This window comes from Homo sapiens, chromosome 21, assembly GCF_000001405.40.
Source record: "Homo sapiens chromosome 21, GRCh38.p14 Primary Assembly".
In the NCBI taxonomy this organism is placed as follows: Eukaryota; Metazoa; Chordata; class Mammalia; order Primates; family Hominidae; genus Homo; species Homo sapiens.
In genome coordinates this window covers 40,275,235-40,302,276 of record NC_000021.9, presented here as the reverse complement: position 1 = coordinate 40,302,276, position 27,042 = coordinate 40,275,235, and the positions used below count along the sequence as shown (strand labels likewise).

The 27,042-nt window shown below is 41.0% G+C and overlaps 1 protein-coding gene across 4 annotated transcripts in view; it reads left to right on the top strand.

Moving 5' to 3' along the window:
* The window catches only part of DSCAM (DS cell adhesion molecule), an 836,160-nt gene that overhangs the window by 544,882 nt on the left and 264,236 nt on the right, over nucleotides 1-27,042 (top strand). For all 4 annotated transcript variants that reach the window (NR_073202.3, NM_001271534.3, NM_001389.5 and 1 more), the window contains 2 exons: nucleotides 6,103-6,222; nucleotides 26,007-26,180. Coding sequence is in view for 3 of the 4 variants with exons in the window: in NM_001271534.3 (NP_001258463.1) it covers nucleotides 6,103-6,222; nucleotides 26,007-26,180 (294 nt within the window). In the remaining variant the exon portion in view is untranslated. The remainder of the gene's footprint in view (nucleotides 1-6,102; nucleotides 6,223-26,006; nucleotides 26,181-27,042) is intronic.

The window sequence follows — 27,042 nt, the reverse complement described above, 5'->3', positions numbered from 1 at the left end:
TACTTCCCACTGGATCCCTCCCACAATAGGTGGGAATTGTGGGAGCTACAATTCAAGATGAGATTTGGGTGGGGACACTACCAAACCATATCATGATCTATTGGAAAACAAACTATATTGGCAAGCCGGCTCACCACAATATACTAAATAATGTGTTATACTAATAAAAGGAAATCTAAATATCATCTTTAAAAAAGGAAACCAACAACCTTGGGGAATTATACACCCAGACAATATAGAGTACTGGTGGTCTTTTTGTTCTGTCATAAGTTTTGGCCCAAACGGCAACAGTCCCAAAGGCTTCACATCCTTCCATCTCAGGCTCTGTATCTTCTTGGCCAGAGTCCTCCTATGAGGCTGTCTTCTGCTGTCCCTCAGATGGCACTTCCATTGGGTCCACTCTTCTCAAAGACCTCAGGCTTTGGGGGTCACCCTGATCTGCGTTATTAACTTAGCCATGCTCCGTTTCCCTAGTCTATAAAACTGAAGTAATAACATTCATTGATTCATGTGTCCTTTCAACGCATAGTTGCAGAGTGCTTTCTGTACTGCAGATCTGTGCTGTGCGCTGGGCATGCCATGGCCTGTGAGAAAGGAATGGTTCTTGTTCTCATAGCATGCACAGCCTGGTATGGGACACAGACTGTTAAACAGCAATACCAGATGAGCGTAATAAAGGCTATGGTAAGTAATTAAGGCCTCAGAGAAGCACTTAATCTTATCCACAGCATCAGAAACAAATGTGCCTGACTGAGTGAGTGCTAAGCTAAGATGCAAATGGTGAATGGGAACTTATTAAACAGACATGAAGAAGCCTGTGTGAAGACCCAGCAGCAAGAATGGTCTTGGGGACTGGATAATAGATGGGGTTTTAGAATAGTTGGGGCAAAGCCTGCAAGAGGAGAATGTCACAGAATGCAACTGGAGACCAAGGGCTCAAGTCATAAAAATCCTTTAAAATATCCCAAGAGTCTGGATTATACCAAAGGGCCATGGGAATATGCGATGCTTTTAAGCAAGGAAGTCACATCATCCAATTTGTGTCTTAGATCCTTTAGGTCCCTGAGTGAAGAATGAATTCAAGTGGGACAGTTCGTGGCAGGTAGACCAGTTAGGGGGCTGAGAAATCTAAATAAGAGGCAATATGGGCCTTGTCCTAGGTTGGGTTCCCTTGAAAGTAGAGTGTGAGGCACAGAATTGGCTGGCAGGTTATTTATTTGGGATGTCATTCCTGGATCCCAGAATGGAAAGAATGAGATTAGAAAGGGAGAAAAGAAAATCAGTAAAAGTTGCTTTAATGAGCTGGTTGCTGCTATGGGCAACTGGAGCTCATTCCTACTGGGAGCCTTCTAAGGAATCACGTAGAACAGTGGTTCTTGAAGTGTGGTCTCTGTACCAGCAGCCTCAGCATCACCTGGGAGCTCATTAGAAAGGCAAAATATTGGATTCCACCCCAGATGTACTGAGTCAGAATCACTGGAGACAAGGTTTAGCAATGTGTGGTTTAATCAGCTCTTCAGGTGATTCTGATGCCCTCTAATGTTTGAGAAGCGCAGGCACAGAGCAGGCCTCATAATTGCCCCACTGGATCGGAGGAAACTGAGGCAGAGGCAGAGAATTTATACCCTGACTCCTGTCCCTCAGTGATGGACAATTGTTTTTCACATGTCAAGGTTGCACCAGTAAGGTGGGTAAAGGCTCATGACTTCTGAGAAGGCCTGAGACAGCAAAGAGAGGGCCGCATCCCCTTAGTGCAGTGTCCTGGCAAAGTGTGTGGAGGTGGAGCTGTCCTCCCAGAGGTGCTGAAGCCGGGTGGACAGAGGGGCTGTGCCCCTTTCCCACATAACCAGACTACTCACTGTGACTGGGGTGTGGCAGTGGAGATGCAGAGAATTTGAGGATACATTTTCAAGAAATAATCATCAGCACCTGATAAAAAGAAATGAAAGAAGAGGATATGAAAGGAAATTCCATTTTTCTTTTTTGAGGACCTTAATGGATGGTGAACAGGAACAGGTACCATTTTGGAAACTTGAATTAGAGGTACCTGTGATATAAGCTAATGATGGAAGGATATGGTGCTCTACACACCAAGGGAAGATAAAGGCAATCATCGTGATGGGAGTGGGTGAAATAGCTCAGGAGGTTTGTTGAGTAAGATGTGGAGAAGATTGAAGACAACACCCTGAGAAGAAGGAGAGGGCCACAGTGGGGGATCCTCTCTTTAATAAGCAAGCAAAGTAAGAATTGTCTTGAGGGCAATTCTGGGAGGGGTCAAAGGATGGAACTAGGAGTACGTGAAACCCACTGAGTACTCAGGAAATGCTCACTTTCATTACTAAGTGACTCCTTGTGGGGGCTCCTGATTCTTTTAGGACAATTTCTTAGGCTGCCATTTTGTAGAAAAAAAGTATCTAGGTCGAATATTAATAGTTTCTTTAAAAAATATCTGCACTTTTTAAAAAATAAACTGCTGCTTACTTTAAAAAATTGGGAACTTTGTTGTCCCTAGGGATAATGGTCATTCTCATATGCTTAGAGCATATGAGAATGATGTCATTAGTTACATGTTAAACACTGGGTCCTCATTCAGACACTCCCCTGCCCTGGAATTTTAATCTTAGCTGGTGATGCAGCTGTCTCAAAGTGATGACAACCCCCAGGGGACCATATGCCTGTTGTCTTCACATTAGGCTCTGGGCAGGCAAAGAAATTTGTTTAGAAACTTATTACTACTTTTCCCAGGAATCCATCACCTCTAATTTTGCCAGGCAGAACTCAACCCAAGCATATTCTTAAGGTGTCAGATCTGAGGGGTGTGGCCTCAGGTCTTCTTGATGTAAGTACATGGATGTTCCCAGTCTTAGAGTTCTTATTGTAACTCACAAGTTCACTTTCATGAAAGGGACCTACGTATTCACTGGTACACGATAATAAATCACTTAGGGATTGAATATTTACATTCATGACAGTCTTCTGTCAAAATTTAAAGGAAATGTATATGATTTGGCTTATTCATGCACTTAGTAAAATATAGCATTTTCCTCAAGGTGGTCTCAAGTTGCATGGTATATCAGCCAAAGACCAAACATCTGAGCTATTAATTATTCTCTTTGCTATAAAAATTAAGAAGCTCACTTACTGCAGAAGCTTCTTTCTTAGGTCTTCATGTGACTGTAAATCACTGGGGTATCTGAAGAGAGAATTCCAATCTATGAGCAAAGAGGTGTACGTGGGAAATCCCCTGGCTACTCCTACCAGGGTCAGAAACAGTTTTCAATGATACGGGGTAATTATTCTACTAATTTAGGGACCGTTTTTATCTGTAACTACCTTATACTTACCGTATTTCTATGGTTGTTTCTCATATACACTTCTTTGATGAGATTTTAAGGAACATTTCGTTGGATTAGAACCAAATTGAGGGGAGGAGTAATGGATCAATTATGATTAGACATGCTTCCAGAGGGAATGCAAGAGATTTTCTACCCTGTCCATTGATGAGCAATTTCTTGCTCTTGGCAGAACTTGAGCCAAATGGAGCACAGAATGTGGATGGCTGCAGATTTTCCTTCCACCCTGCAGAGAATAATTTTGGCATGGTGTCTTCAACTTTGTCACCTGCTCTTGAGTTGATTGGTCACTTTTACTAGAAAACTTAGCTCTAAATAATCTCTACCATATTTCTTAGAGATAATTTCCTCACTCAGAGATAGTCATTCCTTATTATCTTATTTTAAATATATTTTCATTTTCTTAAATACATTTTGTCTCCGAATACCATCTACATGAAGTAACATTGCTTATCACTTAAGCAATATCTCAGAAACCCATTGGCTGTGTAAATTATTTATTTCATTTGCAAGTTGGGAACTTTGCTCATCAAGAATATGTCAGGCCGTGCGCAGTGGCTCACGCCTGTAATCCCAGCACTTTGGGAGGCTGAGGCTGGTGGATCACGAGATCAGGAGTTCAAGACCAGCCTGGCCAAGATGGTAAAACCCCATCTCTATTAAAAATACAAAAAAATTACCTGGGCGTGATGGCAGGCACCTGTAATCCCAGCTACTCAGGAGGCTGAGGCAGAGAATTGCTTGAACCTGGGAGGTGGAAGTTGCAGTGAGCAGAGAACATGCCACTGCACTCCACCTAGGCAACAGAGTAAGACTCCATCTCAAAAAAAAAAAAAAAAGTAAAAGCTAAACATACCTGCATTTACTAAATTAATCAACACTCTTACAGCAGTTAATATCTCCACAGTTCTGAGAACTTTTCTAATCTTAATTTATTTGATCATCTTAACAATCCTTAAAATGAGTTCCATAATCATCTCCAATTTTCAGATAAGTAAATTGAGACCAAGAGCCATTTTACAGTTTGCACAAAATTGCCCAACAGGAAATAGAAAAGCTGGACACCAAGCCAATGTGTTTAACACTTGGCTTTATGCTGGTAGTCATTATTTTCTGGTGCTTCTTCATGTGTAAATCATTCTACAGAAAGTAAAGCTAGAAAATTAAAAGCAATATTTTCTCCAGAAACACTGCGGTGAATTCCATCTCTGGCTGCTTCTTGTGTCTTGACATTTTCCCTTCCTCCTTTGTTATTTTATGGCCAAAGCGATCGTCACGTTGGCTCAGATCATTGTAACAAGCTTCTAAGCCCCTTGCTAACTTAGGCCCTAACCATCTTCTCAGTCTATCATATGTGGCAGCTGAGTTCCTATCTACCTGTAACACATAGGCTCACATTTATGTCTCAAAATTAAGAATTCTGTATCTTGCAAGGCTGATGAGATTAGCCTTACCAGGAATTTCTAAGTATCTACTATATGGTGTAGATAATTCATCTCTTCTCACATAGTTTATGACTGCCTCACTGAAAGTCTACCCTGTAATGAATCGCTGATCTGCTGGGAAAGATACGGGGATTAGAATACTTTCAGATGCTACCTTTTCTAAGAGATGTGATACATATTAAAATCCTAATGGCTTATCTCAAAAAATATGCTTTCTTTGGGGAGATATGTTTTAAGTGAAATCATGTTTATGTTTTAGGTAGGGATGGTTCTTTACAGCACCTCACAACATTCACCAGATAAGCAGTCACTTAATATCTTGTTTTTTATAGGCACACTAGAAAACCTTTATGGTACTTCACTGCAACTACTCTCCACAGTCCCCCTTTGGCCCACCGTGGTGCTGACATCTGGCATAACGGACTATGTGTTCTCACCAGAATTTTGGGAAAAGTTCAGTCCCACATTGTATTCTCGATTGCCTTTACGAGGTGCCTGTTATTTCTCACTTTATCTCCTGGTAGAGGAAAAATCAACATCGAATACTTTGACCAGTTCACATCCAAGATGAATACTTATATTTGATAATTACTATTTGAGGCACAAATATATATTTGATCTACTTTTTTTTTTTTTTTTTTTTTTTTGAGATGGAGTTTGACTCTTGTTGCCCAGGCTGGAGTGCAATGGCATTATCTCAGCTCACTGCAACCTCCGCTTCCCGGGTCCAAGCAATTCTCCAGCCTCCGCCTCCTGAGTAGCTAGGATTACAGGCATGCGCCACCACACCCAGCTAATTTTGTATTTTTAGTAGAGATGGGGTTTCTCCGTGTTGGTCAGACTGGTCTCAAACTCCAGGCCTCAGGTGATCTGCTTGCCTCGGACTCCCAAAGTGTTGGGATTACAGGCATGAGCCACCGCGCCCAGCCTGATCTGTTCTTTAAATGGTGATTCTGATTCAATTTTCCATTGAGGGAATTTCTGTATATTTTTGATAACACAATTAAAAGCAAAATATTCCATCCCTTTGATTTAGTCAAACTTCCTCCCTCGAGGCCAGTTTTCCCTAGTTCAAAGGGCTTTTACCTGTGACAAAAGCTCATTGATATGAATCAGAAAATTTTTCAGCACTGAAATTACTCCCTTAATTTGTCCCAAACTGCCAATAGTGTTTTTATTGTCCCATGTGTATGAAACAGTCTTCATATTTTAATATTCATTAAAATGATTCAGTTTCTTAGAATCATACCTTTACTCAGTTTCTGGTCTAGTCTTAATTACTGGTGACATTTCTCTCTTTTCAGTTCCTCCCAAGTTTGTGGTTCAGCCACGGGACCAGGACGGGATTTATGGCAAAGCAGTCATCCTCAATTGTTCTGCTGAGGGTTACCCTGTACCTACCATCGTGTGGAAATTCTCTAAAGGTATGGAGTTACTTGATCTACTTGTTACCTGTCAAACATTTGCTATGTTCTAAAGGATTAGATAAGCATTTCTAGATTTCCAGAGAAGTTTCTTGCAAGTAGATACGTATCTCTGTTTCCACCAAGCCTATCATTCTCTCATAGACATTCCTAGTTGTCCACCTAGGTGTTTTTATTCAGACACACAACGTGTCTGTTGTACATAACATGCCCTTGGAAAGGCCACAGAGGGATGGAAGTCTTTTGTGTAGATTGTTTCAGCACTTAGGAAGTCCTACCTTGCCCACCTGTATTACATAACCATGGTCTGCTTAGAGATCACTGCACACTCGTACATGAAGAGATGTGAGTTTAAATTGTCAGAACTACTCATAGCTGGAAAACTATTTCCCCAGTATTTAGAGAGATGAGTGGGTTTAGAAAGTTAAAGATAATATCATTGATTGTTTTATTCCCCTTATTACCTTAGAATATACAGATTACACGTCATCTCCTTGGCGTGCTCTTTTTAAAAACAAACACGCCCAATGTCCTATTGCGATTGTCTCATGTTCCCTGCTTGCACCCCTAATCATGTTTCCTCTTCTAATGCAGAACAGTAGCTCCTGGGTTTTAGGTGACATTGTAGATATTATGCAAGTAGAAATGTATGACATGGAAACGAAGAGTGGAATCATGTTAGACTTTGGAAAAACAATTTCTGTTCATTAGGGTGGCTTCTTCAGAACGCCTCCTTAACGGTACTTGCAAACATATTGGAAGTTCTCTTTCTTTTCTCATTTAGACACTTGAATTCAGTACTATATTAGTTGAGGGCCAGATATGTACTGGTGAGATCAAATAATCAGTCAATCATGACCTTTTTTTTTTTCCAATAACCTAAGACCTAGTATCTAGGTTTAATTATTGTGAGGTATTTGTATTTGTGTTGACTTAATCATCATTTATACTCTAGATCTTTCTTTTTTAAAATAGCATGTTGCATTTTCTCATTATGGAAGCAACAATGACCAAAGGAAAAATAAATGGTACATTTGTTGCAACCCTCCTGGCATCTCTCTTTTGAGAAGGAAGGTAAAGAAGTGGGGAAGGTTGCTAGACACTGTCTGATTGGGAAAATAGCTAAATTTTTAAAAGTCCCTGAAGCAACTCCCCTGTCACACACCACACACCACATCCACTGTCCATGTGCAAAGGACTTCTTCAAAAATAAAATCCTGTTATTCAGAGTCTCTGCCCCCATGACTTTTTATTTCCTGCCGTATTTGAAGCTCCATTGTGCATTATTACATGGAAACAGATAAACATCATAAATTTAATTTAGTTTCTATGGAAGTGCATATTTGATATTATGGACATTTTCCATGACATTTGCCTTCTTCAACATTATTTTTAATGCCTGTCGTTATGCAGGTGTTCTCTCTCTCCCTGAGGGTGTTTACAGTTTTCACTCTCATAAACACTCCAGCAAATGAACACTCCTGTATGTTAATTCAATGCGCATATGTGTAAGTGAAGTGAAAAGGCACCAGCCATATACAAGGCTCTTACTCTGTACTGCCCAAGGGCACTTAGGCCACCAACAGTATGGGTGGGTAAATGTGGCCCAGCATCCTCACCAACTAGATAACATTTTTTTTAAATAGTCTTTACAACCTGATGGTTGAAAATGCCCTCTCATTTTAATTTGCATACTTAGATTGTTAATGTTGTTTAACATGTTTTATCTTATGTTAACAGACCACTTCTACTTCTCCTTTGGGAAATTTCTTATTCATGTTACTTGCACGCTTATCTCTATGTCTTATTTATTTGGAAGTGTTTCTACATAGATTAAATAATACTTTGTCTGTCTTGGATGTTACTGACATTTTATCCCTTCTTACCACTAACTTAAAAATTAGGTTGTAATAGTAGCTTTTTTGTCTTTAAATTTCATATCCAATATCAAGTCATCAAAGAAAAAAATTAGAAATTGCAATTTTTTAAAAAGTTAAATTCCCCCCAATAACATCACTCAAAGATGATCAAAGATAACTGCTGCAAACATTTTTTGTCTCTAGACTGTCAGTCCTGTCCCCAAGCAATTGCATACCCATAGATACACATTATACATTTTTAAAAGTTTGATGATTGTTGCTGGCTTATAATCTTTCTTCAGTCAACAATATACTATGTATGTCTTGCCATAACAACAAATATGGTGCTTAATATGACTTTTTTTTTTCTGGAGACAGAGTCTTGCTCTGTCGCCCAGGCTGGAGTGCAGTGGTGCGATCTCAGCTCACTGCAACCTCCGCCTCCTGGGTTCAAGCAATTCTTCTGCCTCAGCCTCCCAAGTAGTAGCTGGGATTACAGGTGTACACCACCAAGCCTGGCTAATTTTTTTGTATTTTTAGTAGAGATGAGGTTTCACCATGTTGGCCAGGCTGGCCTTGAACTCCGTGACTTTTTAATGTCTGTGTAATGTTTATTGTAGTACATCAATAATTACGTTTATCTAATTACTTTAGTTAAGATTGAGTTCAGCCACTTAAATTCACAAGGGTTTATTTTTCTCATAAGAGGACTCTGGATGTCGACAGCTCAGGACTAGTTTGTTGGCTTGGCTAAGTCATCAGGCACCCAAACTCCTTATGTGTTAGGAAGAGTTCTGCCTCTCCTAGCAGCATTCTTCATCCTCAAACGATGGCCACCAAGCTATAGTGTCAACTTCCTTTCACATTTCCCTGTAGGAGGAAGAGCAAAGGGAGATGGCTGCCCCTCCCACACGACTCACCTCCCTTTAAGGTCCTTTCCAGAAGTGCATCACAGATCAATTTTGCCAGCATCTCTCTGGATCGCTGGCCGGGTCGCCCCTGGCTATAAAGGGTCCGTAAGCCATCATGGACATAATGTGTGTTATTTTCCTAAGTCAGAGGGGGTGTTGGATACCTGGCAACTGGATATCTCCAACACTATTGTTGAATGTCATATTTTTGGTTTTTGCCAGTTTTTCTTTTAGAAAAATATCGTAATGGGCCAAGTGCAGTGGCTCACACCTGTAATCCCAGCACTTTGGGAGGCCAAGGCAGGCGGATCATGAGGTCAGGAGATCAAGACCATCCTGGCTAACACGGTGAAACCCCGTCTCTACTAAAAATGCAAAAAAATTAGCCACGCGTGGTGGCGGCCACCTGTAGTCCCAGCTACTCAGGAGGCTAAGAATGGCATGAACCCGGGAGGCGGAGCTTACAGTGAGCTGAGATCACGCCACTGCACTCCAGCCTGTGCAACAGAGCGAGACTCCATCTCAAAAAAAAAAGGAAAAGAAAGATATCATAATGACTTCTAATGACTTCTGTCACATTTATCTTTGTATATGTGTTCATTTATCCCTGGGGATAAATTTCTATAAGTAGAGTTGCTGGCTCAAGGAGTAAATAATTTTTATAACTTTCAATATGTATTGACAATTTGCCAGCATTTTATTCATTTACACAACTCACCTCAGTTTGCAGTAGTGTCTGTCTCTTATAACCAAAATAATACTGGATATTAGGCTTTTTTTTTTTGACATTTTCCAATCTGATAGAGAAATATGGTATATTGTTATTTTAATTATGCAAGCAGTAAATCTATTTCTTAAGAACAATTTAGCCTTGCTTATGGAACATGTTTTCTTTCAATGAAATGATCACTAAGAGCTGAAGTGCAGCTCCCTCATAAATGACAAAACTGTATAAACAAAACAGATTCAGCTTGTTTCCTTGAGAGATGCAACAGTTTAATTCAGGGGAGGCAGAATTCCAGGGTAAATCACTGCAGTTTAAAGGTAGCTATTGTAGAAATGAAACAATCTTTGCTACAAAAAAAAAAAAAAAAAAAAAGTCATTACATTTTTGACCTTGGGTCTAGATACACAAAGTCTGAGACATTCAGTTCTCTTTTTTGATTTATTTATTTACATGAACAAATGAGGCCTCTTGCCTAAAAGAGATTTAAAAAAAAAAAATCAGGGCTTCATTCTGAGGTGGGTCTCACCTGTACTCCCAGAAGTCCACAGCTTAATGCCATTCTCTTGCATGTATGTCACTTATACTGGAGGGAAAATAGTTCAGGGCCATCTCCTTGTTACCTGCTGAGAAGCGAAGAGGGACTGCAAATGCGAGAGAATAGATGATGCATCAGCCTGGGGCCTGGCCTGGGCCTCCTTTGCTCTCTCTGGCTGTCCATAGAGTCTCTGACCTTCAGGGAAACTTGGTTGTGGGAATGTCCAAAAAGAAGAGTCAGAGCATGCCTGGGGGGTGACGCTGGAGGACAATGGGGAGTAGTTTGCATTTAAAATAGCATTGTCAAAATACCCCAGGAGTAGGGAAAGTCTGAGGAAAGACTTAAAGACAGATGAGTCCTGTGCTCCTGTCCTCCGAGGGAGACCGGAAGGTGAGGGGCCAGCTAGTTCCCAAGAGTTGGGGGTAGGGGGCGAGGCCGGGAGGTTGATGCCTGGAATGATCCAGAAACACCAAGGAGGACATTACAGCTGTGGCAGAGTTAGTGAAAGGAAGTCCTGGGAGAGGAGACTCCTGCACTGGGTCCCCATCAGTCATTGTAAGGACCTGGCTCTGCCCAAGTGGGGAGTGGGTATGGTGAGCAATGAGAGTGGTGATGGTGATGCGGTCTCTTCAGCTGCTGCTGTGCTGAAGCCAGAAGCTAGGAGGCTAGCTGGGTAATTGGAGAGAGATGGTGTGATCTGCCTCATGCTTTAAAAGGATCACACTGGCATGCTGTTTTGAAAGCAGACTGTGTGAAGGACAGGAATTTCAGCCGGAGAGCTGTTCTAAGGCCTTGGCCGGGATGTGGCCGGAACCAGGGTGACTGCAGTGGAGGAGGGACAAATGGATTCTGAATGTCTTTGAGTGATGGACATACTATGGGTGTGACAAAAGGGGAGAACCCCAGGCAGTGAGGATAGTGGAAGTGCCGGTGACAGACAGGACGACTCCAGGAGGGCAGACCTGTGGCTGGGGTAAGATCAGGGTTTTGGGCTCCTCTCTATGCAGATACAGCTGTCAATTTCCAATATAAGCAATGATAAATTTTCTAAATATCCTAGATTTTGATGAATATTTTCTGCATTGTCAGAGCTTAGACCCTCTATGTTCTGTTCTGCAGCCATATGCCCAACTTTTGCAATTGCCAGTTCTGTGTTAGATTGATTTTGTGCTCAGTATGAGTTATTTGGACATAGTGAAGAATATTCCAACCTCTTTCTGGTTTGCAATGGTTTGTTCCTTGCCTTTTTACACCCAAAGGACAGATATTGGCGGCTCACACTGTCTCCTTGGAGGGAGCACAGACTGCCTGATTTCCCTGTAGAAGGAACTTAATCTTTTTGGTTCTGTGCACCAAAGAGCTGACTTTGAAGTCTGGTAGTTTATTTTCTTTTTTTATTTTTGTGATGGAGTCTCGCTCTGTTGCCCAGGCTGGAGTGCAGTGGCACGATCTTGGCTCGCTGCAACCTCCACCTCCCGGGTTCAAGAGATTCTTCTGCCTCAGCCTCCCAAGCAGCTGGGACTATAGCCATGCACTACCATGCCCAGCTAATTTTTGTATTTTGGGTAGAGATGGGGTTTCACCATATTGGCCAGGCTGGTCTTGAACTCCTGACCTCGTGATCCACCCAACTCGGTCTCCCAAAGTGCTGGGATTACAGACGTGAGCCACCGCACCTGCCCTGAAGTCTGGTAAATTTTTAGTCTATAATTTGGTGTTTTCCATTTGGGGTCAATTTTCCCATAGATGTGGTGCATCTATTTAATATGTAGATTCAGGTTATTTTAAAAAATATTTTTCCCATGAATTGTATCTCTAAGTGTTCTCTTCCCTGCTTTAATTTTCTTCTTCAGGGTCTCTGATTGTGGTTCCATAGGATTGCCACCTAGTCTCTGTAGCTGTCATTTTCTCTCTGGTTTTTTAACTCATTGATTTCCATTTTAATTTGTTCGATATTTTTCCATTTCTGTTCTCCATGTCTTTTCCCCAGCAAGGTCTGTTCTTCTTTGTGCCAACTCCGGTTCTGCCTTCACTGCTGTGAGTTTATATTTTTTCTCCTTCTTTCTCTCCAGCTCTGCCAGCTCACAGTTCACCCTTCTTCAGCCATGGCTTTATAGACAAGTGACTGTTTTATTCACAGTCTTCATCTAAGTCGTAATACCTGGTTTCTTGTTCTGTTTTTTTCTTCTATTTTGCTTATTGTATCTTTGCTAGGTCTTGGTTTCCTTTCGAATACAGCAGCCCCAAGACCCCCAGGGGATGACTGAACCTTGGGGAGCACCAAACCCTACATATACTATGCGCTTTCCTACACATGCATACCCCTGATAAAGTTTAATTTATAAATCAGGCACAGTAAGAGATTGACAAAAATTATGAGTACTAGAATAAAATTATTATTACAATGTACTGTAATAAAAGCTATGTGAATGTGCTGTCTCTGTCTCTCTCAACATATCTTATGTGTCTATACTCCCCTATTTTAAGACTGTAATTGACCTCAGGTAGCTTAAACCATGGAAAGTGAAAATGTGGATGAGGGGGAACTACTGTACTTACATTTGAAGAAAATCCATGTCCCCAGAAAAAGATTGTTGTGTACAAATGCCTGATTCCTCAGCTAACCCTACTTCTAAAATTCTAAGCCACATCAGGCCTGGGGAAGTGCCACCCACACCCACCTATGCACACTGTTTTCACTGATGGAGGCTTGGCTCTCACCTGTGACCCACTCTGCTGGGACTTCTGAAGTTCACAGCGGTGGCCCTGATTCCCTCATCTTCCTGCATGCTCTTCTGCTCAATTACCCTGTTGGTTGCCCATTTACCCATTCTGTAGCTGGAAGTTTAGCTATTTTCTAATTTCATAGGAAATAGAGGTTACATTTTTCTAGGCTTCTCTCTCCCATTTGCTTTCATGTTGTTCCCAGGAAGAGAAGAAGTGCTGGTTTATGCCTCCATCTTCAAATATGAAATTCTATTGTTTATATACAAAGGGTCATTAAATTTGGACTTGATTTTAGTAAAATAAATAAAGTAGGAATCTAGGAGGAGGAGTAGAAATCATCAGTTAGGAGACTGGGCTATAAGTTCAAACCCCAGCCATAATACAACCCTGTCTGGTTGGGTGACTGCATGTAAATTACCTACCCCATATGAACCACAGCATCCTTGCAGCTGAAACAGATAAAATAAGGGGATAAATGTGATGATTTAGTAAGATGACTCATAGAAAGCATTTATTATGGCTTCTGGCACATAGCCATTAGTCAGTATGTATTAGCTATTATTAATATCATTATTGCCATTATCATGAACTTACATGGTTAGCCATTTGTCCTAAAACCATTTATTGAAGAGCCCAAACTTTTTCATTTGCGATACCTTATTGTCTAAGGGGAAAATGTGAATACTGGAGTCTGTGTTTCAGCCTTCTCTCTGTTACACTCAATTGCCTGTTCAGCACCATACGTATTAGAAGTTTATCTCCTTCTATTTTAATGTCTGTTTTGACAATACTCCCCTTGTGACTTTTATTTTTCAAAAATGTCCTTGCTTTTTCTGCATGGATTTTTGTTTGTTTGTTCCTTCTAGATGCATATTAAGATAACTTTATCAAGTTTCCAAAAAATCTGGAAAATTTGGAGGATCATAAATTTAAAGCTTAACGTGAAGAATGCTGATGTCATTAGAATATTGAGTCTTCCCAGCCAATACCATGGATAGTCCTTTCATGTATCCAAGTTTTTCTTTTATGAACATTAATAATTTTATTGCATTCTTTCCATTTGTCAGTGGTAGTGAATTTTTATAAGCTACGGCATCTGGTTTTCTTTTGTCCTCCTTGGTTTTCTGGGCGGAAAGGGGTCAAGAGCTGTCTACAGCCAATCTTTGTTGAGCTTGTCCTTATGTAGCTGTCCACATCTCTTTCTTCTCCCAGCAAGGGTAATGCTGTTCTTAATTTAGAGGAGTTTCTATTTTCCCCACTCTGTAGCTCATACTAAGGGCTGCAATGGTGTGTGACTCTATTTCTTCCTGTCTCTCTTGAGATTGTATTTCTCCCTGCCCCTTTTCCTGTGTCCTTTCTGCTCATTGTAGTTTCCCCAATTCCATATTTCCCTGGAGGCTCCAGAGAATCCACCATTATTTGGTGCACACACAGGTTTGCTTTAGCTCCTCCTTCTCCTACTGCACCCAGACAAGCTGCTGGAGGCTGTCACTTCTGCACTCACCACGCACAGTCCCCCAGAGGGCCTGGCTGTCCCTTACCACTAGGGCCCTAAAAGCACCCTCTTCTGCTCAGTGTCAGCCCACCTGGAGAAATCCTCCCCTGTGGTTATAGACTCATCACAGGGGGCAACAGGAACTTGATTCTTTTGTTGAGAGATTCATAGAAATAAAACTAGGCACTCCAGACAGTTAACTAAACGTTTCCATGCAAGATGGAGGGGAAAACACATGCTGTGCTCAATACTGGCCAAACTGCTCAGGTGACCCTCTCTGGAGTCCCCTCCTACTTTAGGGGCATGCCCTGGAAAGGCTCACCTTGATCCTGCCCACAACTTCCCTCCCAATGTCCAGGGGACATCCCTGGAACCTTCTGTAGTCCTCATGGCCTATGTCTCAGAAGACCATGAGAAATATGAGGGAAAGGACAAGCCTAAGTCCCTCAAGCAGGTTAATTCTAGAGCAGATTTTCTGCCAACACCAGTTTCAGACCTCTCTGGTGAGATGACCAAGTCAGTCCCTTCCTCAGCAGTCAAGAGAGGGCTCACACTGCAGATCACCTGTTAATCACACTGTGATCACACTGCACATCATACTGCAGATCACACTGCAGAAGACCCTGCAGATCACACTGTGGATCACACTGTGGATCATGCTGCAGATCATGCTGCAGACCACCTTGAGATCACACTGTGGATCATACCGTGGATGACATTGCAGATCACCTGCAGATCACACTGCAGATCACACTGTGATCACACTGCAGATCACACCGCAGATACCTGCAGATCATACTGCAGATCACACTGTGGATCACACTGCAATCACACTGCAGATCACACCATGGATCACACTGCAGATCACAACGTGGATCATACTGCAGATCATGCTTCAGATCCACCTGTGGATCACACTGCAGATCACACCTTGGATCACACTGCAGATACCTGCAGATCATACTGCAGATCACACCATGGATCACACTGCAGATACCTGCAGATCATACTGCAGATCACGCTTCAGATCCACCTGTGGATCACACTGCAGATCACACCATGGATCACACTGTGGATCACACTGCAGATGACACTGCAGATCACACTGAGGATCACCTGTGGATCACACTGCTGAACACACTGCAGGTTGTACATTCAAAAGATAAGTCTGGAAAGAAGCAAATTATCAAGAGACAGAAATTTGCTTAAATAAAATTCTCTTTTGTTTTTCCTCTGGGAAAGCAGGGGGTTTATATTAAAATAGCTCAATAGGGAGCACGTTCATAGGGCCCAGTTGGGATGATACTGAGTTTTCAGGTCCTCCAAGGCTTCTCCCCAAGTTCTGGTCCCTTTGTCCTGCTCTGTATGCCCTTGCATGTTTCACTCTGCGCCAGCCTCGTGCCTGAGTGCCCCCAGGTTCAGTGTCCAAGGCATTTCGTCTCATTCTTTTTTTGCCCTTGCTGCCACTCACTCTGACCTTGAATGCCAGTTCCACAGGCTTTGCTCAGACAAGTGTCTCTTTTGCATCCCTGTTCTGAGAAATTGGGTCTCTGCATTGTCTCTGACCCTTGTCTTGGTCATCTCCTTGGGACCAGTGGCTCCAATCCTGGCCCTATCTTAATCCTCTTAGTGTGGATCACCAGAATAAAACTTCTGACCACAAGCCTGACCTGGTGGAGGCTGCTGCCCTCCCACTGTCCCACCCCTGCCTGTGCATCTGCACACTATTCAGTGCTCTCACCATGCCCATTCCTAGACTCACCATTTGTCTTGCTCTGTGTTGTTTAGAGCACCCCAAGACTCCACACCCATGGTTTTGACCTCTTCCATGTCCTTCATTTCCTGAAGCAGCAGTGATCCCCTGCTCTGCCCCAGTGCACTCCTCTGATCCAGGCTATCAAGTCCTGGCTCTCACCCAGCACCCCGATTTCCAATTAGGTGATAAGATGCAAATATTGAATTAATATGGGGAAAGAATTCAAATAATCCAAAAACGAGAAGAAGGCAACATCTCTCTATGGCACACATGGTAAAAATAAACCCAAGTTCAAAGTCCGATATGGATCCCTCATGCACAACAAAAGGAGCTCTGCTTGTGTGTTGTGTGTTCCCCAAGAAGAGACAAGGGGCCTCACAAAGAAATAATGAGTTCTTGAAAACAAGTTGTAAGCTGAACAGAGAAAGTGAGTGTTCCATATATTGTTTTATTTTCTTCCTTTGATGGTAGGAAAAACCTTAGCAGAGCAGAAAACCTGCCTTCCTCTGTGCTACCCTAATCAGCATCTCAGTGGCCCTGGGAGCTGCTGCAGGACCTCTGCAGGGTCCTCACCTAAGGAAGTGTAATTACCCTGAGCCTTGGTGGAGCCACCAGGACAGTCAACCCTGGGGCCCATCTTGCTCTTCCTTTCTTTATTTTTCAGCACTCCTCCATCTTTCCCCCTCATTTATTTCCTGGGAAACTTTCTGGAAGCCTTCTTCTAGGTGTAGGCAGTCACACTGAAGACAAATGTTTGGGGGGCTCTTGCTCCAGGGAAACGGTGGCTGGAGACCTTGAATGGTAGACACTGCTGCAGGGCTCCTCCCAGGAGCAAGGCAAAGCACTGGTGGAATCTGCATAATTGAGTCACCTCAACCACTTCCAATATCACATGACCCCTTGACGAGTGCTGAATTGTGTTCAGTTCATGGATCAATTATCTGATAAGTGAGTGAAGGGCCAATTCCCTCTGGCTGATTTAAAAAAAAAGGATTCTTATGTATTAGTTACATAATTACGTATTAGTTACAGAATTAGACATTGAAGTGCTAGTGGACTAGCAAGTTGTAACAAATCCTGATTAGACACTAATCTAGACCATGAAATTTCCATTGTTGTCATTGGATAGCCTTCTTCAACATAGAAATGAAGGTATTAAGGAAAGATGACTGGATTGCACAGTGGACACAATTATGTGCACATTTACAAAAGAAGTAACCTGGACGGTGTCACACCTGGATGGTGTGGTGTGTTATCAAGAAGGGATTTAATAAAGGGAATTAGGGGCATGCAAAATCCTTTGAAGCGTGGACAAACTGCGCGGCCCTTTAAGCACCTGAGAAGTGTAGGAACTAAGATGCTTCTCCCGTCACTGCTAACAGCTGCTTCTAGTGCTCAAGCAGTGATTTGTAGTTCTCCCACAGGCAGCCATAAACCTGATGTTTGGGGTTGACCCATGCATCAATTTGCTGCTTCTAAAGCAAAATAATGGCTTTTCCACCCTTGCACCTACAAAATTGTTTTTAAGTGCCTCTCACTGGTAAAATGTAAACCAGAATCTAGTAACAAAGCCAGGGAATGTAGTTTTCAGGCTTTCAAGCCCTGCAATTTAGGGCAGAGTTTAGAGGGAAAGTGGTAGTGCTAAAGATCAACATACAGCATCTGACACAAACTTTCAGTGTCATAAATATTACCTGCACAGTGGTGGAAGCTTCTTTCTCAGGGATTGGAAATAGCTCTCCAGCCTGGAACCAAGCCAGTGGTGTCTCAGGACTATACCTCTGTCCACTTCGGGATTCTTCTTTGTAACAGAACTCTTCAGCACTCCTTCACTGAATAAGCATTGTATTTCAGCTACTAAACCTTATTTAGGTGCAACTGCTGTTGCTATTCTTGCTTTTTCTCTTATCTTTCCATTGCAACCTCTATCTTTTTACCCAATGCTTTCCTGCAATCCCCCAACTATTCTCAGAGAGGAAACCCCCCTTCCTAAAGAAGAAAAACAAATGCATTCTTGAGGAAAACACCACTCTCTCCATAAGGATGAAAGGGATTGTGTTTGATTCCTTGGTGAAAAGAAAGAACAGCTTACCGCCTGACCATTGTGCAAACCATTGGTGAGGCTAAAGAGACCTCCTTTCCATGGTCCTGCGACTCTTCAGTCTTATTTCACCCTACAAGGGGACCCCTCTGGATGAGCTCATTGACCAAGCTCTCCTTGCATGCAGGCATTTATACCCACATTCATACAATCTTGCTTCACTTTATGTGCACAACAATCCTACATCATATGTAAATGGATTATTCTCCTTATTCATATATGATGAAATTAAGGATGCAGAGAAAATAAGCCACTTGCTGTAAGGCATGGGTAGTTTCAGAGAGCATGAGAACCTAACCCTTTTGACTCTTATCCAAGTGCCCTCTCTACAGACCAGCAAAGACTTAACAGTGAAGGAAAAAAATTGAAACAATTTTCTTATTTGCTGCTGCCTTCAAAGTGGGCTCATTTGGTGACAATCTGCCGTTCTTTTTCCACTGTCCCCATACTCTCAGTCCCTGTGAACACAGCTATGCATATATTTGCAATAAATAAGAAAGGTGACCCAGAATTAATATAACTAGCAATTCAGTATGTGCCTTACATAATGCTTTAACATTTTATTTTCATGTAACGGAGCATTGAAATTGTCCCCACTTGACCCCTGCTAGCCACAGAAAATTGGCAGTGTTTTAATTAATGACTGCTGGTTACCACATTGTATCTTCTAGCTAATTACCTAAAGTGCTTACCTTGTGCTAAGAAGATTACAGGATTTTACATATTGATGCTTTGGGTTAAATTTTACTCTTTAGAATAAAGATGAATCTAAAGTAGATGACTGATAAATAATTCTGTCAAACCCTGGCGAAGTCTACTTCCCTCCAATTAAACAAATGCTAGCCCTTGGAACTGTAGTCCTCATAGTAGATGAATCAGTTGGCAGTGTGTTCACTATTATTCCATTTAGTAACCACAATTAGATCTTCAGATGCAATAACCCTTCAACTTAGGTTCATTTTTCTGATGAAGAAAAGATTTAATGTTTTCTTAAATGCATTTGAAACTTTATTTCTATCTTCATTAGGACCTTTTAGTAATAAAGAAACTTACTTCAGTCTAGATAGGAATAAACAGATCATCCTTTTCTGCTATTTAATTGAGACGACTTAGCATTGTAGTTAATTTTATGTTGTGATTCTTTAATATAAATGTTTCAACAATTACAAGCATTTTTCTGGTGAAAATTATTTAAGAAAAGGAAAACAATGTGTTGTTGACATGGATATTCATGTAAATTTTTCAAACCACACCAGCATGTTATTTGATTTTCAGTTTCTTAAATACAGTTTTATATAATTTGAAATTTTTAGATTACCTATCTTTTTTTTTTTTTTTTTTTTTTTTTTTTTTGAGACAGAGTCTCGCTCTTTCGCCCAGGCTGGACTGCAGTGGCGCTGTCTTGGCTCACTGCAAGCTCTGCCTCCCGGGTTCAGGCCATTCTCCTGCCTCAGCCTCCCTAGTAGCTGGGACTACAGGCGCCCGCTACCACGCCCGGCTAATTTTTTTTTTGTATTTTTAGTAGAGACGGGGTTTCACCGTGTTAGCTAGGATGGTCTCGACCTCCTGACCTCGTGATCCACCCGCCTCGGCCTCCCAAAGTGCTGGGATTACAGGCGTGAGCCACCGCGCCCGGCCTAGATTACCTATCTTATAGTTATATTTTTTCAATCCTATATTTGGTTGAGTTTTCAGGTTGTGTGTATTGGACTAAATCTATTCTCAATTTACAGTCAACTTTGGGAACGACATTAATAGCCTTTACTGATTTTCAAAGTGTGTTACAAATTTAAGCACTTAAATAAAAGTTGAAGGCTTTTTCCTTAATTTTAACTTCCAATAAATCTATTATCCTCACACTAATGAACACAATATCCACAAGAAGTAATTTGATAATTTATAAAAGCCAAATTCTTTAAAAATGCAGTCTAATTTTATAGGAGAAAAAAATGATTATCTCAATATATGGTTAAAAACTAGCTGATAATATTCAACATCCTCTTCTGATTGAAGCAACGAGAACAAAAAAAGAGTTTTGTAAAATAATTACATAGAAACACTTCCTTATAACCCAAAGTGCTTTGGAAAATGAAGAAAAAGACAAAAGCTCAGTAGAAAAATGGGTAAGGGATAAATGGGCTGTTTACTAAAGAACAAATACAGATGGCCAATACATTCATGATGCTCAAAATTATCTATAAACAGAAACAAACAAAAATACAAAAAAAATCCGCCAAAATGTGCAAATTAAAATAGTGATGTATAGCATTGATGCAGATTTAAAAGTTTAATAGCATACATGTATGAGGAAAAAATTAACCCTCAGCTAGCACTGAAGGAGATAACGTTTGTACATTTTTAAGGCAGTTTATTGTAAATATGGTAATATATTTTAAGATTTGAATATGCATCACCTTTGGTCCGAAATTCTTCTCCCTGAATTAAGCATACAGATTGCCTACCGCTATATATATATATTTCTCTCCACTGATGCACTGATTGATGAGTGGAGACATTCATTGCAACGTGGTCCCTATTCTTGTGGAATGGGAAAGACAGACAGCCATATAATCTTAAAATTATTAAATAATTAAAAAGAGAATGTTAGAAAGCACAACAATGTTGTTTGCTTACTATAAGCCATACCAATACATAGTTCAAGAACTTCAGTGCTTCTACCATCCCATAATGAAGGTTCTATTATTATTTCCATTTTACAAGTTAAGAAGCTGAAATATTATGTAACTTACCTAATTTTACACGTTAGGAATCTATTGCTTTGTAACAAATTACCCCAATTTAGTGGCTTAAGATAGTATACATTTAATAGCTTCCATTTCTGTAGGTCTGGAATGCATGTGTGGCTTAGCTGAGACCTCTGGTTCACCATCTTCCCAACATTGCAGCCAAGGGGTTGGCTGGGATGCAGTCATTTCAAAGCTTAGCTGTGGGAGGGTCTTCTCCCAAGCTCACTCCTGTGATGGTTGATAAGCTTTACTTTCTCAGACTGTTGACTGAAGACCAACTCCCAGTTCCTTCCCATGGGAGCCTCTCCACAGAGCAGCTCACAACATGGTAGCTGGAATTCCCCAGAGTTAAGACTGAGCGGGAGGGAGAGAGGGAAGAAGAAAAAGAGATGGCAGTCATGATCTTTTTAGCCATAGCTCCTCACCCAGTATTTGTCACAGTACAGGTGCTCAGTAATTAATAAAGTCCATTTGCATAAAAACGAAGGCTACATTATTTTATGTTTAGAAGATATTAGAAAGTCCGTAATCTCTCTGAAGGTATTTACTTTTTTACTGTTTGAATTTTTGACAAAAAATTCAGATTCCCTAATCCAAAATTCTCATGCTTTAAATCCCAATAAGTAAACTAGTAAATAGCTTTCATTAATTATTTTTCAAAATCAACCACTCTTATACTGATGTATTTATTTTTTCTCAAGCATTTGAGGCCAAGAACAATGGCTCGTGCCTATTTTCCCAACACTTTGGGAGGCTAAGGTGGAAGGATCAATTGTGGCCAAGAGTTTCAGACAGTCTGAGCAACCAAGCAAGACCCCATCTTTACAAAAAATTTTTAAAGGCCTAGCGGGGTATGGTGGTGTCTGCCGGTATTATAGTCCCAGCTACTTGGGAGGCTGAGGGGGGAGGATTGCTTGAACCCGGGAGTTCGAGGCCACAGCGAGCTATGATGGTGTCACTGCCCTCCAACCTGGGCAAAAGAGCAAGACCCTGTCTCAAAAAAAAAAAAAAAAAAGGCACCAAAATCTGCTGTGAACTTTCATATGAATTAAGGTTTTTTTTTTAATTATTATACTTTAAGTTCTGGGATACATGTGCAGAACGTGTAGGTTTGTTACATAGGTATAAATGTGCCACGGTGGTTTGCTGCACCCATCAACCTATCATGTAGGTTTTAAGCCCTGGATGCATTAGGTATTTGTCCTAATGCTCTTACTCCCCTTGCCCCCACCCCCTCACAGGCCCCAGTATGTGATGTTCCCTTCCCTGTGTCCATGTGTTCTCATTGTTCAATTCCTACTTATGAGTGAGAACATGAGGTGTTTGGTTTTCTGTTCCTGTGTTAGTTTGCTGAGAATGATGATTTCCAGTTTCATCCATTTTCCAGTTTCATCTATTTTATGGCTGCATAGTATTCCGTGAAGCATGTGTGCCACATTTTCTTGATCAAGTCTATCATTGATGGGCATTTGGATTGGTTCCAAGTCTTTGCTGTTGTGAATAGTGCTGCAGTAAACATATGTGTGCATGTGTCTTCATAGTAAAATGATTTATAATCCCTTGGGTATATACCCAGTAATGGGATTGCTGGGTCAAATGGTATTTCTAGTTCTAGATCCTTGAGGAATTGCCACACTGTCTTCCACAGTGGTCAAACTAATTTACACTCCCACTAACAGTGTGAAAGCCTTCCTATTTCTCCACATCCTCTCCAGCATCTGTTGTTTCCTGACTTTTTAATGATCACCATTGTGACTGGCATGAGATGGTATCACATTGTGGTTTTGATTTGCATTTCTCTAATGACAAGTGATGATGAGCTTTTTTTCATATGTTTCTTGGCCACATAAAAGTCTCATATGAATTAAGTTTTAAATTATCTACATTATACAAGTTGCTGGTGTAATTCTGAATTTTGTACATTTTGATAACTTATTTCCAAGGAGGGAGCAGATTTAGGGATAAAAATGGTTGTCCTTTTAGTCTCACTTTATAAAATACTCATTAGCTCAAGTGAGGAAAACATATTGAAGAGATAATAAAATACTGTTATGTTTTTAAATGTTTTTATCCCTGACTTTGAATTCCTTATGAAAAGAAGAATTTTAAAAACTTTTTCTACTTAGAATCATTTTATGAAAATTCATATTTTAGATATGTAATAAAGAACTAATGCAAACATGTGAGTTTTGTTAGTAGATGTTCCCTCTTCTAAATGTACAATTATCCTACATTTACATTTCTCTTAATTACCTTTAAAACAGATATCAGAAAACTATGGGCCACAATTCAAATTTGGCCCACATCCTGTTTTTGTTTTTGTAAATAAGTTTTTTAGACTATCTTATTTCCTCATAATGATCACCAACATTTATCACTATATGCTAGGACAAAGATCAATTCTTCTCAGATTCAGTATTTTTGAAGACTCCTCCTCCTCCTCTTCCTCCTCCTCCTCCTTCTCTTCCTCCTCTTCCACTTGTTTTAGAGACAAGATCTCACTGTCACCCAGGCTAGAGTACAGTGGAGCTCACTGTAACCTCAAACCCACCTCAGCCTCCCAGAGCATTGGGAGTAGCTAAGACTACAGGCATGACCCAACATGTCCAGCTAATTTTTAAAATTTTATAGAAATGAGGGCTCACTCTGTGACTCTGGCTAGTCTCAAACTCCTGGTCTCAAGTCTTGCCCCCACCCTGGTCTCCGAGAGTGCTGGGATTACAGGTGTGAGCTGTCATGGCCTGCCAATAAGTTGTTATGAAACACAATCATGCTATTTTGTTTCTGTATTTTCTATGGCTACTTTCATGACTCAGTGGCAGAGATGAGTATTTGTGACAAAGACTGTATGACCTGCTAAATTTAAAATATTTACTCTCTGGCCTTTACAGAAAGATTACCAACCTCTTTCTGAAAATGTTAAGCATTTTTATTCATGAACATGGTATAACTCTCTAATTATTTAGGTCTTATTTAGTTATTCTCAACAACTTTTACAATTTTCAGTGGGCTGGTCTTGCACATATTTTGTTAAATTTATTCTAAATATTTTATGGTTTTTTGCCAATATATTTTCTTTTTAATTTTTATTCCCAATTGGTTGTTACTATTATACATAAATAAAATTGACATTGATTTTTGTATATTGATGTTGTATCCCATGACTTTGCTAAACTCATTTTATAGTTATAGCAACTTTTTTGTTTACTCTTTTCAATTATCTATGTAGAAAATCATGTTATCTGTCAGTAAATACAGTTATATTCTTATCAATCTACATTCGTGTACTTTTATTTTCTTCTTATTATTTTTCTTTTTTTTTTTTTTTGAGACGAAGTCTCACTCTGTCGCCCAGGCTGGAGTGCAGCGCCGTGATCTCAGCTCATTGCATCCTCTGCCTCCCAGGTTCAAGCAGTTCTCTGCCTCAGCCTCTCAAGTAGCTGGGATTAGCAGGAGAATCACTTGAACCCAGGAGGCGGAAGTTGCAGTGAGCCGAAATCGTGCCACTGCACTCCAGCCTGGGTGAGAGAGCAAGACTACATCTCAAAAAAAAAAAAAAAAAAATTCAGGTTGTCGTATGTCCCCTCTAGCAGTTCCATTTTGATGGGAACCACCTGTTGTGGGGATTCTACTTGATCTCCTCATTCAATGTGAAAGGTCCCCTTAGGTACCTTATCAATTTCTCTCGTCTCTTCAGTGGGGCTAGAGACAAGTTGCTGAGAAATCTAAACCAGAAACACGGGAAAGGAAGGCACAGCCACAGTCTCTGCCATTGTGAGCTCGAGTGAGACCAATACACAAGTTGTCATTAGGGTATGGAGACAGCAAGAGGAAGTGTCTCCCATTCTCCTGTCCTCAGATGCAAAGTCTGAAGTTTCCTGCTTGAGGCCTGTGGAGACGTCTGACTTGTTCAGCTCCCGTGTAGGTTCTTGGGCCAGGAAGCTAGCACCTTCTCTCTAGAACACATCTTTGGCCCAAACGTTGAGCTTCCTCCAGGAAGATCCTCACCCCAGAGCTTTCCCCTCAAGTCCCCAGATACTCAGGCCAGAGAAGAAAAATGCCCTGGGAGAGTCTTTCAAGGCCTGAATCCCATTCTCCCAGCCCACCCAACTCCTCCAGGCCAGAAGCAGGCAGCATGGCAGGTTCATCCAGTCACCATCTTCCCAGAAGTCTTCTAGGACCTTCATAATCTGTTTCATTATTTCTAAAATCCTTTTTTTTTTTACCCAGTTGTATATAAATCCTTCATATGAATCATACCACATTCATTATAATAGCATATCATATCTGTGCCATTCCCTCCTTGCATGGAAGCACTCTGAGGAGAGAGGTGTTTTAATTCTGTGCTGTCTTACTGCACTAATCTGATGTATTTATTTAAATAACATTAAATGATATTAATGGTGTATTGTGTGTCTAGACCGGAATATAACCACCGTTAAAGAGAAACCTGCAATATTCCTATTCTCTTTGTAGCCTCAGACATGTGCAGTGAGCAAAGACTTCAAATGCCATGTCCCTGGAGCACTCCTTGTTTACATTCATATTAAGTCCCTGGGAACACAAGGAATTTATTTAGCACCATGAGAGTTGTCTGCTTCTGTGGTTGTTCTACTGTGATTTCTTTGAATAATTTATCAGCTACTTAACACTCATCAAATTTGGCTTTTTATGTAGAGAAACTATCTGTAAGTTCTGTTAGTTTTTATCTCAGAGTCTGAGATACTGTCATTTTAAATAAATGCTTTTCTCTCTAAACAAGAATTTTAATACTGGAGGAAAGAAAGAAAAACCTGGTGTATCCCGTGACTGCCTTATGGGATCAGTGTGAAGCATCTCTTTATGAGTCTGTGTGTACTTGAACTCGTTGTCTTCCCATACTTACTCTCGTTTGCATCATTGCTCGTCTTTCTTTTTCTGTCTCAGGTGCTGGGGTTCCCCAGTTCCAGCCAATTGCCCTAAATGGCCGAATCCAAGTTCTCAGCAATGGGTCGTTGCTGATCAAGCATGTCGTGGAGGAAGACAGTGGCTACTACCTCTGCAAGGTCAGCAACGATGTGGGCGCAGACGTCAGCAAGTCCATGTACCTCACGGTTAAAAGTAAGAGAGAAGAAATGCTTCGTTTTACCTAGTTTAAATACATAGGTCTCTGGGGGCTTCCTTTTTCAATTGTCTCCATACATACCTGTTTAAAAGCAACACAAAAGAAGACCCGTTGGTGTGATATAGCTGGGTTTAAAGTTTTGTTGTTCTGGAAACATGATTGAAGAGGATGGTAAACATCCAGCTAATTGTTGACAGTGTGCCCAGGGCCCCTTGTGTGTGGAGCATGAGCCACATTCTTCTCTTCCTTTGGTTCTCACAGCCATTGGTATGGGCTCTGGGCAACCTAGCAGATGAGTAGGTCTCTGCCTTTAACACCCACATTGCTACCCTGTTGATTTTCCCGTGGAAAAACTCAATACATGGTCTCAGATGTGCTCTTTACAAAGCCTTTTGTCATGCATTTTGTTATTTGCAAGCTGTCTTGTCCATGGATTTCCTTTTAAGGATCATTTTAAAATCAAGTGACTAGCGAACAACTACAAGACAGAAATGTGTAAGACTAGGCTTAATGCTGGCGCTGCTGGCCCAATATATAGAAAAAGGTGCGTTATAATGAAATTATTCTCATACATTGGTAACTGGCAACCAAGGAAAGGATATAAAGTGAACCAGTTTTACTGAGTTGTGCTTATTAACAAAATGATGGTGCATCTAGTTTACAGTGAATGGCTTATGCCCATTTATGGAATTTTCCATCGAATGAACTGTGATTTCTTCTTGATTACAAGGCTTTATTCAGACTCCCCTCCCACTTTTTTTTTGAGGCAGAGGCTCACTCTGTTGCCCAGGCTAGAGTGCAGTGGTGCCATCAAAGCTCACTACACCCTCGAACTCCTGAGCTCAAGGGATTCTCCCA